We start from the raw sequence: 12,837 nt of genomic DNA on the forward strand, positions 1-12,837 counted from the left end.
TTTTCTTTTTAAAAAATAAATTTTTAATTTTCAAATAGGTTTACATTTACAGAAGAGTTGCAAATAGAATACACAGAGTTCTCCTCCACATCATACCCAATTTTCCCCATTTTAATGTCTTACATTACTATGTTACATTTGTCACAATTAATGAATTAATATTGATATATTATTAAGTTTATACTTTATTTCTATTTCCTTGGTTTTTACTTAATGTCCTTTTCTGCTCCAGGATTCCATATCAGGATACCAAAGGACACCAAGTCCTTAGGTTCTTCCCGGCTGTGATCATTTCTCAGGACTACATTGTTCTTGATGACCTTGATGGTTTTAGGGGGTACTAGTCAGGTGTTTTTGGAAACTGTTTCTCAGCTGAGGTTTGTCTGATGTAGTAGGATTATTAGTTTTGGGAGGGAAGATGTCGAGGTAAAATGCCATTCTCATCCTGTCATATGATATGCACTTTCGACTTGACTGATCACTGCTCACAGTGGCCTTGATCACCTGGCTGAGACAGTGTTTGTTAGGTTTCTCCAATGCGAAGTTACTCTTTTTCCTCCTTTGCTATACTGATTTCTTGGTAGGATGTCATTATGTGAAGCCCACAGTTTAGAAGTGGGGAGTTACGCTCTGCTTCCTGGAGTCCCTGATCTCCTTTTGAAATGATTTTTCATGCTGAACACAAATTAAAGTAAGAAAAATATGGATATTGAATGACTAGTGCAAGAAGTCCATTATAACATCTGACATGAAAAATTATCTATCTACTTGTCTATTAAATGATTATATCTATGTATACAAACATTAAATACTAAGCTATGCAATATTGTCTTTACTGAAGGTAAAGGTCATTAGATTATATTTCATGCAGTGAACTGAGAAATATCTCATTTTTCAGACCTAAATCCCATCATTTCTTCAGAATACCAACTCTTTATAGAATGTTGTTTTGGAAAAAGTTTATATTGGTGAAAGTTTACTTTGACATATCTATGGGATAAGACGACTTTCTCTACTTCATAGATTTTGAATTCAGGATAAGACTTTCTCTACCAATGAGCAAAAATGGACCAAAAAATGGGGTAACATGAGGAAATCAAATCTGAGATGGTCCACAACTGATCCCTTTTCTTCACCGTACTTAGGTAAATGCTGTGGCACGAGTTGCTCACATTAAATACAACGAAGCAAATCATAAGCAGCAGCGCAGTCGTGATGGTTCCGGTCTCATGGGAGGCTATAGAGGAACAGCTGTTGTTGTGAAGATGTGGATTATTTTTCTGGTGTCTGTGAAGGAAAATCACCAAGTAGCCACTGGCTCAACTCATGAGAACCAGAAAAATTAAGTCCTGGAATGTGATAACACTCGTATGAGAGACAGCAATTGTGTTGCCCATGTGTGGTGTAGCTAAACACATTTTTATGGAGAGATTCTTGGTGACACTGCCATATTTGATAGTGTCAACAAATGGCACAAGCTTGATGTAGATGAGACTGTTGATGACCCAGAGTGTAAGAAGAAGCACAGTGGTGTTTTGAGCATTTTGTCTTTCAGCCACGTCCACCTGGATTTGCTGGGGCTCCCACGGAGGGCCTGCACCATGCTTAGGAGGTATGTCGTACATAGGGGAAGTCCCCAAGATACTCTATATAAAAATTCAAATTCCCTACATCCAGTATAATTCAAAAGATTTTTAGTGTTGAAAGATTTTACTGCCAATGGAATAACTTTGCGGAGAAGTGTCATCGTATTAGCAACAGACAAGTGAAGGAAAAGCAAGCCCATGGGCTTCTTCTGCTGGGGACATATCAAAAAGGTGTAAATAGGCATCAGGAGTAGCAGTAAGTTCCTCCAAATCCCAATGTCAATATGAGAGAGGAAAAAAATTTCCATAATTGTATTGCTGGAAAGCATGGTGTTACAGGCTCTCAGAATGATACAAATATTATATTTCAGCCTGAAAAGACTGAAAAACATCAAATTAAAAGCAGAACACAAAAGGATACATGTCCCAGGGAGAAAGGATTTCATCTCTTATGTAGTTCCTTTAAAAGGGAATACGAAAAGAATAGAACTATATTAAATATCATGTTGGAAAGTTCCATGGTAACCAATTATCCCTCTCAATGTTCACAGGTAATTTTGGGATATGATGTAGGCCAATAGGAAATAATGAGTATTTCCATAGCAAATAAGCCTTCATTTATGACACACATTTATTTTGGCAGTAATAATTAGTCTCTCTCCAGAACCCAGAATAAAATGAGAAAAATCAAGTGGGTTTTGATCTGCAGTGCCATTTATATTTGGTAAGATTTCTCATTACATTAGTCAGTCTGAAACAAATTACAGTGGAGTGTGGCAGGAACATGTATTATGAACTAAATAAATACTCACTAATGCACTCATCATCCGGTTGGATGAAAACGTTCAGTGTCTACTCTGATGGAAGCCAAAGATGCTGATCATAATGAAGTCAAAACCATCAGTACCTGATTCACACTCTTACATTTCCTTAAAAATACCAGGAGGCTGAAACAGAAAAGTGGAAAAGAGAAATTAAAGATAAATTTATAGAAGGTTTATAAGTGATAAAAACATGAAAAATAACTTTTTCAGTTATTAAATCAATTCAAATGGAAACAAATAATTTTGCTCATCAATTTGTAAAAGTTTCCAAATTAATCTGCTTCAAAAATGAAAAGGTCCAGTAAGATAATAAATTTTCCTATAATGCTAATGGGGATCAAGTGTTGATATCTTTGGCAAAGCAATTTAAAATACATATTAAAAATTTGAAGACAATTGTACAAAAATAAATAGCCTTCACACATACAAATTACAGTCAGAAGCTATAAGGGCAGAGATAACTACATTTACAATAGCAATAAAACATACTTAGGAATAAACTTACCAAGAAATGTACAAAGCCCATAAGAAGAAAACTGTAGGTCAGGAATTGTGGTGCATGCCTGTAATCCCAATGCTTTGGGAGGCCAAAACAGGAGGATTGCTTGAGCCTGGGAGTTTGAGACTAACCTGGGCAACAAAGTGAGACCCTTGTCTCTACAAAAAATAAAAAAAATTAGCTGGGCGTGGTGGTGCACACCTGTGGTCCCAGCTACTAGGAAGGCTGAGGCAGGAGGGTTGCTTGAGCCCAGGAAGATGAGGCTGCAGGATGCTGTTTCATGCCATTACACTCCAGCTTGGGCAACAGTGCAAGACCCTGTCTCAAATACAAAAAACAGCAACACACACACCAAAAAAACACTGTAAAACATTTCTAAAAAACATAAAAGTGGCTTGAACAGATGTAGAGACATTTGGATAGAAAGCCTCAATATCATCAGTATGTCAGTTCTCCAGTAATTTAGCATATGAAGTCAATGCAATCCCAATTGAGATAACAACAGTAGTTTCTTTTGGTTGGGTTTTTGGATCTAGACAAGTTGATATTGAAGTTCATATGGAAAAATAATCACAAGGGTAGAAAAATACTATCAAGAGAAACGAGGGGGATTAACATCACCACATATTAAGCCAACTGCAAAGACTATATAATTAAAACAATAATAATGGCCCACGACTAAACAAATAGATGAATGAGATAGAACTAAAATCAAGCACACAAATAAAATCCAAATATTATGGAAAATTAGTAAATCATAAAAAGTTCATATCTCAAATCATTGGGCTAAAAAGGGGAATTTTTAAGTAAATGATGTAGCCATTTATTTTTCCAATGGCATAGCCATTTGAAAAAGTCGGATTAGTTTCCCACACTATACACAAGAACAAACACCGTAACGATGGGAAATATAAAGAAACAGTCATGCATGGTCTCTGTTCTGGCTGCTTGAACTCTATCTGGGAGCAGTGCAATCTAGAATTCTCCATTCAACCCCCAAGTGCTCCTCTCCCTTTCGCTCCGGCCCCTGATTTATCCTCTCTGAGCTCTCAGGGTCCTGCCTTGTGTCCTTGTGCATGTGCAGCTTAGTGTACAACCAGGACATCACATGACCTGCATGCAATCCTGGGGATCCTTCCCTGCCCCATTCTTTCCTCTCTGGTGACTTTCCACATAAAATTCAGCCACTTCAAAAGCCCCAACATCTGATAGGTTTCATCATCCCACAAGATCTCTGCTCTATGTTTGGGCTCCATTTCCTGGCTCATGGCTCTGTTCCCTTCACTTAAGAATTATAGTCATTCAGCCTGGCCAACATAGTGAGACTCCGTCTCTACGACAAATTAGCCAAATGTGGTGGCGTGTGCCTGCAGTCCCAGCTACTCAGGAGGCTGAAGTGGAAAGATTGTTTGGGCCCGGGAGGTCAAGGCTACAGTGAGCTGTGATGGAGCCACTGCACTCCAGCCTGGGCCAAAGGGCAAGATTCTGTCTTCAATAAATAAATAAAAGGAAGAAAGAAAATAAATAAATAAAAGGAACTGTAGTCTGTACTGTCTGTTTTTCAAAACCTGGACACAGTTGCTTATTTTCTTCCCCTTTGACAATTGTTGATGGTGAAACAATAAATCTGCTACTTATTCCTCTGAGAGGGCTGGGCCGCCCTCTCTCTTTTTTTGTTATTATATTTACAAATTGAAGATATCATGTCACTATTACTGTAGAATTTTCTTTTTTTCTCTTTTTTAATTTTTCATTTTTTAGAACAGGGTTTTGCTGTATCACCCAGACTGGAGTGCACTGGTGCAATCATAGCTCACTGTAACCTCAAGTGATCCTCCCACCTCCGCCTCCTAAGTAGCTGGGACTACAGGTGTCAGCAACCACATCTGGCTAGATTTTTATTTTTTTGTAGAGAGAGGGTCTCACTATGTTGCCTAAGCTGGTCTTGAACTCCTGGCTCCAGCAATCCTCCCGCCTTGGCTTCCCAAACTGCTGGGATTACAGGGATGAACAATTGTGCCTGGCCTGCCAAGTTTTTCATAATCTAGATTTGACAGACAGTTTTACTCATGGTTTCACTTTACTTGTATCTCCATCCTCTATATTTTGCATGGACTTTTAAGTGTATCTACAAATTTGATATATTTCATTTTTGTCTTATTGAGAATATTTCATATATAGTACTGCGTACTTCCCTTTGCATCAAAACAGAAAGCACAATATCTGTTTAGTGATATTAAAATTGATTATTGGGTCCAAGTATTATCAGCCTGAGTCATCCGTTATACAGATTCCTCATCAACCTGTTAAATGCTTGGTATTCATTCATGTTTGTTGCTTAGACATAGTCCTCATTAGAGTTACAAAGTAGTGATTTTCTAATCATACTGTTTCTCCTCTGTTAATTCGCTGAAATGTTCTGGCACTAGAATATTCATTAGTGAACCTCATTCCTAAGTAGAAGAAACACAATGAACAAATTCAAATGACAACTGGTAAGAGAAGAATGGAAAATCTGCAACTCTTACCAGATACAAAGGGCGAATTTCAATATTTTTGGGTTCTAAAAATGATCAAGATATAAAACAAAAACCCAATAGAAAACAATGTGCAAAGGGTACGAGGTTACAGTTCACAGAAAAAGAAAATAAAATGACTCTTAGAGGAACATATTTTCATACATATGTATAATGAGATAAATGCAAATCAAAACTTCAATTCCATTTCTTTGACAATTAGAATGACTAAGACTAAAATTTTAATTAAAAAATTTATGGGCAACATAATAAGACTGATTTCTTAAAAAAAGGTAGCCATTCATTTCTGTTGGTAGAGTTGTTGGGTAAAATGTACTTTCATAACATTTCCTACAAAAGGTACATTTTTCTCTTACCATTTCAGTCAACTGTTTCATATTCACAAATTTATCCTCTAAGTATACTTGCATATGTGTAAAATTTTTATTTAAAAAGTTATTCACTGTAATAAACTTTTCACTGCAATGAATGTTCATTCATTTTCTGTAGTAGCAAAAGACTAGGGCAACCCATTAATTATGGATTGAATACACAGAGTATATCAATACATGAAACGATACAATTTCATGTATTTATTTATTGATTTATTTATTTTTATTATTTTTTTTTTTGAGACAAAGTCTTGCTCTGTGGCCCAGGCTGGAGTGCAGTGGCATGATCTCAGCTCACTGCAACCTCTGCCTCCTGGGTTCAAGCAATTCTCCTGCCTCAGCCTCCCAAGTAGCTGGGATTACAGGCGCACACCACCACACCCAGCTAATTTTTGTATTTTTAGTAGAGACGGGGTTTCACCATGATAGCCAGGCTGGTCTCGAACTCCTGACCTCAGGTGATTCACCCACCTCAGCCTCCCAAAGTGCCAGGATTACAGGTGTGAGCTACTGCGCCCGGCCAATAATTTCATGTGTTTAAAAATCAGAAAGCTCTTTATGTAGTTATCTGGAATTACACAAGAGACGGTTAGAAGAAAATATGTGAGAATTACTTGTTAACTAGTGTCAAGGGTAATGTTTCCAAGATAAAAAGTTCATATAAAATAAGAAAAGAGTTGTTAAAAATTGACCTAAAGAACTTTTGCATGATGAAAATAATGTAAGTCAAAATGCATATAAATCTGAAAAATATTAGTAACCTGTTCATAGATAATTGGTTAACATCAGGTGTGTGTGTGTGTGTGTGTGTGTGTGTGTGTGTGTCTATAAGCTTTTAAAAACAGTGAAGAAAATCTTACCAAAAAATAAAAACAAAGCAAAAGACATGAGTAGACATGAATTCCTGGGACATGATCAGATGGAGCAAAGAGAAAACGAATAGTAAGATGATAGATTTAAACTAAACTGTATTAGTAATTATACTATATGTAAATAAACTAAATAAAATACAGACATTATTTGCTTTATATTTATAAAGCAAGACCTACATATATACTAAAACATATACAGTTTGAATAGATAGACACAGATATGCACAACACTAAACATAATAAAGCTTGTGTGACTATATTCATTTCAAATAAAATACACTTGAAGAAACCGGAAATGCCAGAGAAAGAGACTTCCTAATGATAAAACTGTCAATTCATCAAAAAGTCACAGAAGTTCTAAATGTGCATTTATCTGTAACAGCTTCAAAATGCGGTGAGCAATATCTGTCAGAACTAAATAAAAAACTGTATCAACACACATCATAGTTGGATGTTTCAATGCCATTATCTCAGTAATTAATGAAATACTAAAAAAACTGTAAGAATGTAAAAGATCTGAACAAGTCAAATTGACTCAACTGACATTTATAGAGTATTACACCACAAAATGGCAGAGTAAAAATGGCAGAATTCTGGGAAATAAAAATAAATTTCAATATACTTTAAAATATTAAAGCCATACAAAAACAAATAATAATAAAGGAGGTGGGAGGAAATTTGGGAGGTGATGGATATGTTTATGTCTTTGAGGGTGATGATGGTTTCTGGATGTATACTTACCCAAACTCATCAGGATGTATACATTAAATATGTATTGCTTTTTATATGTCAATGATGCCTCAATAAAGTGGCTTAATTTTTTTAATTACCAAAACCCATATGAAATATCTTATGTGAGCACAATAGTATTATAATAAATTAGAAATCAGGGCCAGGTGTGGTTGCTCACCTGTAATCACAGTACTTTGGGAGGCCAAGGCAGGTGCATCACTTGAGGTCAGGTGTTGAGACCAGCCTGGCCATCGTGGCGAAATCCCATCTCTACTAAAAATACAAAAATTAGCTGGGTGTGGTGGCAGGCGCCTGTAATCCCAGCTACTCAGGAGGTTAAGGCAGGAGAATTGCTTGAACCCAGGAGGTGGAGGTTGCACTGAGCTGAGGTTGTGCCACTGCACTCCAGCCTGGGTGACAGAGCAAGACTCTGTTTCAAAAATAAATAGACAGATAAATAAATAAGTTAGAGATCAGGTACTGAGAAAAATCACCAAACATTACAATTAAATTACACACTTCTAAATAATCCATGGTTACTAGGAGAAATTACAATGGACATCAGGAAACTTATTGAACTAAACAATTATGAAAACAAATGCCAAAAAATGTGAGATCTATCTAAGGAAGTACTGAATGAAAAATGCTTAAACAATAAATTATTAAACAATGATTCACTTAAGATGCTAGAAAAAGAAGAAATAAACTAAAAATAAATAGAAGTAATGCAATACTAAAGAAAGGAAAAGAAGTCAATAAAATAGGAAAAAACTCAATAGAGAAAATTGAAACCAAAATTTGAACATTTAAAATGACATTAAAATGAATAAATCCCTAAAAATAAAGCACAAATTATTAATACCAGGAATAAAATAGGGGCATAAGTGCAATTCCTACAGATATTAAAAATTATAATAAGATATTATGAGTAACTTTATGCCAATATATTAAATAACTGAAAAAATAAATTTCTTGAAAGCCACAATTCATTAAACCTGACATAGAAGAGAAAGCTAAGTAGTTCTATATATGTTAAAGAAGAGAGTTCATAATGAAAAACCTTTCCAAAAAGAAAACTTCAAAACAATAGTGAATTCACTAGTGAATTCTTGAAGCATTTGAGAAAGAAATACCAATTTTGTAAAAGTATTTTTAGAAATAAAGAATGCTTTCTAACTTAAGTGACCAGTGTAACTTTGGTACCAATACATTACACAAAGTAAATATAGAGACCAATATTCTTCAAGAACAAGAGATGCAAAAATGTTTAATAAAATATATGGAAATAAATATAGAGATATCATATATAATAAAATATATGAAAATGTAGAGATATCATATATAATAAAATATATGAAAATAAATATAGAGATATATAAAATGTTTAAAATAAATATAGAAGGGCCGGGCGGCGGTGGCTCACGCCTGTAATCCCAGCACTTTGGGAGGCTGAGGCGGGCAGATCACGAGGTCAAGAGATCGAGACCATCTTGGCCAACATTGTGAAACTCCGTCTCTACTAAAAGTACAAAAATTAGCTGGGCATGGTGATGCGTGCCTGTAGTCCCAGTTACTTGGGAGGCTGAGGCAGGAGAATGGCTTGAACCTGGGAGGCGGAGGTTGCAGTGAGCTGAGATCGTGCCACCGCACACCAGCCTGGGCGACAGTGAGAGACTCTGTCTCAAAAAAAAAAAATAATAATAAAATAAATAAATAAATAAATAGATATGTAAAAGGTATAATCTCTAAATATAGAGACATATAAAAGGTATAAGTATAGAGAAAATAAATATAGAAATATATAAAAGGTATAATATAATGAGTTCTAATTTATTATAATACTGTTGTGCTCACATAAGATATTTCATGTGGGTTTTTTTTAATTAAAAAAATTTGGCTGGGCATGGTGGCTCATGCCTGTAATCCCAGCACTTTGGGAGGCCAAGGCAGGTAGATCACAAGGTCAAGAAATCAAGACCATCCTGGCCAACATGGTGAAACCCCATCTCTACTAAAAATACAAAAATTAGCTGGGTGTGGTGGTACGTGCTTGTTGTCCCAGCTACTCAGAAGGCTGAGGCAGGAGAATCGCTTGAACCTGGGAGGCAGAGGTTGCAGTACGCTGAGATCGTGCCATTGCACTCCAACCTGGCAACAGGGCGATACTCCATCTCAAAAAAAAAAAAAAAAGAAAAAAAATTTAAGCCACTTTATTGAGGCATAATTGACATATAAAAAGCAGTATATATTTAACATATACATCCTGATGAGTTTGGGTAAGTATACATCCAGAAACCATCATCACCATCAAAGGCATAAACATATGCAAAAGGTAAAAGATATATAAAGGTATATCATGACCAAGGGGGATTTATCCCAGGAATGCAATGTTGCTTTAGTATTTAAAAATAAGTCCAAAGAATTAATCACATTTATAGAATAAAGGAGAAAAAGCATATGATCATCTGAACTGTTGTACAAAGAAACATTTGATGAGATTCAATACCCACTAATGACAATAAAATTTCAAGCAAATAAATTTCCCCAATATGATTTTTAAAAGTCTGCAAAGAAACCCAGTGCAGCTAATATTATAATTAATAATGAATTATTGTATATGTCCTTCCTAAAATTGGGAACAGGAGGAGGATTTCTATTCCCAATACTTCTATTCCACATTGTATTGGAGCTCCTAGCCAGTGCAACGAGGAAAAAAGATGAAACAAAATACTAAGATAGTTTGGAAAGTAAGAAGACCATCTTCATTTGCAGATAGCTTGACTGTGTATATGAAAAACAAAGAAATCTACAAAAATCTACACGAACTAGTGAATGAATTAAACAAGTTTGGAGTATAAAAGTTCTGCATATAAAATCAATTGTGTTTTATTAAAGAGCAACACCCATTTGCAAAATGAAATAAATAGCATCGAAAGTATAAAACACTTTGGAATAAATTTAACAAATAACATGCAAAACACATACACTGAACTGAAAACTACAAAACATTTCTCAGATAAAGACAACAAAATGGCTGGGTGCGGTGGCTCACGCCTGTAATCCCAGCAATTTGGGAGGCTGAGGCAGGTGGATCATGAGGTCAGGAGTTCGAGACCAGTCTGGCCAACATGGTGAAACCCCGTCTCTACTAAAAATACAAAAATGGGCGTGGTGGCGGGCGCCTGTAATCCCAGCTACTCTGGAGGCTGAGGCAGGAGAATCACGTGAACTGGGAGGCGAAGGTTGCAGTAAGCCAAGATCATGCCATTGCACCCTAGTCTGGGGGACAAGAGTGAAACTCAGTCTCAAACAACAACAACAACAACAACAACAACAACAACAACAACAACCACCAATCAATGGAAGGATACACTACTTACAAAGATCAGGTACTGGATATCGTTAAAATTTCAATTTGCACAAGGTAGATCTATAGAGTCAATGTAATCTCTCATCAAAATCCCAACATGCATTTTTGTACAAATTAAAACATTGGTCCTAACATTTATATAAAGATTCAAAAACTTAGGATAGCTTCAGTAATCCCAACAGTGTGATAGTTGTCTGCTCACGCAAAGCCGACAAAGGGAAAAATGAAACAGAAGAGAGAATCCACAGACTCACACATACGTAGTTGGCTGTTTTTTGTCAAAAGTAATAATGCAATTTAATGAGGGAAATAAGATTCTTATCAATAATTTTTCTGGGGAAACTGAATAAACATACAGAAAGAAATGGACCTGAACTACTGCTTCATACCATACTTAAAATTAGAGATTGATTAGAGACCTAAGCATAAAACATATGTCTTTTAAGCTTTGTTAGAAGAAAAACTTCAGGCAAATTAATTTGAGCAGAGTTTAACTGTGCAAAGAACGATTTGCAAATCAGGCAGCCCCTGAACCGACTCCCTTGCTGCTGCACGGTGGGGGAGGATTTATGGACAGAATAAAGAAAGTGACCTACAGAAAGCAAAAGAGAGATACAGAATTGGACTGGTTACAGTTTGGCATGTGCCTTATTTGAACATGGTTTGAACAGCTGGCAGCCTTTGGCACAAGAGTAGGTTACAATCTGTTCCAGTTCACTATGTATGGAGAGACCTTTTGATTCAAATTTAAAATACAAAAAGAGGTAGCTTTAGGCCCAACATAATTTAAGCACTTCTAAAAGGTAGAAGGGAAATAGCTTTATAACATTAAAAGAGCACTAACTCCTCAAAAATTATAAATAGGACTTTATGAAAATTTAAAAATCTTCTCTTCATCTAAAGGCAAAAGCACCATGAAGAAAATAAAAATGGGCCAGGTATGGTGGCTCACATCTGTAATCTCGGCACTTTGGGAGGCCAAAGTGGGAAGATTACTTGACCCCAGGAGTTCAAGACCAGCTTGGCAACATAGAAAGACCTCATCTCTAAAAAAATAAAATAAAATAAATTTTAAAGGAAGAAAATAAAAATGCAAGTAACAGAGATAAAGAATACACTGTAGCTGCAATACTGAGATATATATATATATATATATGTATATATATATATATATATATATTTTTTTTTTTTTTTTTTTTTTTTTTTTGAGACGGAGTTTTGCTCTTGTTGCCCAGGCTGGAGTGCAATGGCACGATCTCGGCTCACCACAACCTCTGCCTCCTGGGTTCAAGGGATTCTCCTGCCTCAGCCTCCCGAGTAGCTGGGATTACAGGCATACACCACCACACCTGGCTAATTTTTTTTGTATTTTTAGTAGAGACAGGGTTTCTCCATATTGGTCAGGCTGGTCTTGAACTCCCGACCTCAGGTGATCCACCCACCTCAGTCTCCCAAAGTGCTGGGATTACAGGCATGAGCCACTGTGCCCGGCCTGGTATTTGTTAAATAACTTGTATCAAGAATCAAAAAATAAATTATCACTTAAAAAAGTCAGGTAACATTTGAGACTAATCATTCAGTGTTTAAAGAAAAAAAATGGAATATTTTAAATGTATGTACTATGAGCTCTTCAAAAGTGAAAAATTGTTCCAGCTTTTCTAACTTGAAATGAAACTCACTGAAATCTCTTACAGGGTAAATTATCATAGTGCTTTGGCTGGAGAAGCCCACACAGAAGCAGAAACAGTAAAAAACTCTTTTTAAAATTTATTTTTCATAGCATCATTGAGTTACAATTGACACACAAGGAATTGCACATATTTAACGTGGACAATTTCTCTTGAGTAGCTGACACTGCTGAATGCCCACTGGGTGAAACATCAGGAAAAATCAGGGCAGTGCCACTTCTGATGTTACTCTGACTCATCAAGTTAAAGATTCAACTGCAAACATATGGTTTGAGCTGGTATCTTGTTTATAGAATTTGACTTTCACCGAACAAATGAGCAAATCTACAGACCTGGCTGGACTTGTATCAGCACCCAC

At 36.0% G+C, this 12,837-nt stretch overlaps 1 long non-coding RNA gene and 1 pseudogene across 2 annotated transcripts; both read right to left on the minus strand.

Annotated features, from left to right (window-relative positions):
• On the minus strand, positions 1-8,688 carry LOC107987104 (uncharacterized). Of its 2 annotated transcripts, none has more exons than XR_007061681.1 (4): positions 7,600-8,688; positions 2,399-2,533; positions 2,008-2,046; positions 1-1,280 (listed from the first exon to the last, which is right to left on the minus strand). It is a non-coding gene; the product is annotated as an uncharacterized LOC107987104 (long non-coding RNA). The 2 variants fall into 2 exon arrangements; XR_007061682.1 differs by lacking the exon at positions 7,600-8,688 and adding an exon at positions 2,916-4,274 and having other exon boundaries at positions 1-1,594.
• VN1R51P (vomeronasal 1 receptor 51 pseudogene) lies at positions 1,013-1,915 on the minus strand (annotated as a pseudogene).
• Positions 8,689-12,837: the final 4,149 nt, after the last annotated feature.

This window comes from Homo sapiens, chromosome 9 (genome assembly GCF_000001405.40).
Source record: "Homo sapiens chromosome 9, GRCh38.p14 Primary Assembly".
Lineage (NCBI taxonomy): Eukaryota > Metazoa > Chordata > Mammalia > Primates > Hominidae > Homo > Homo sapiens.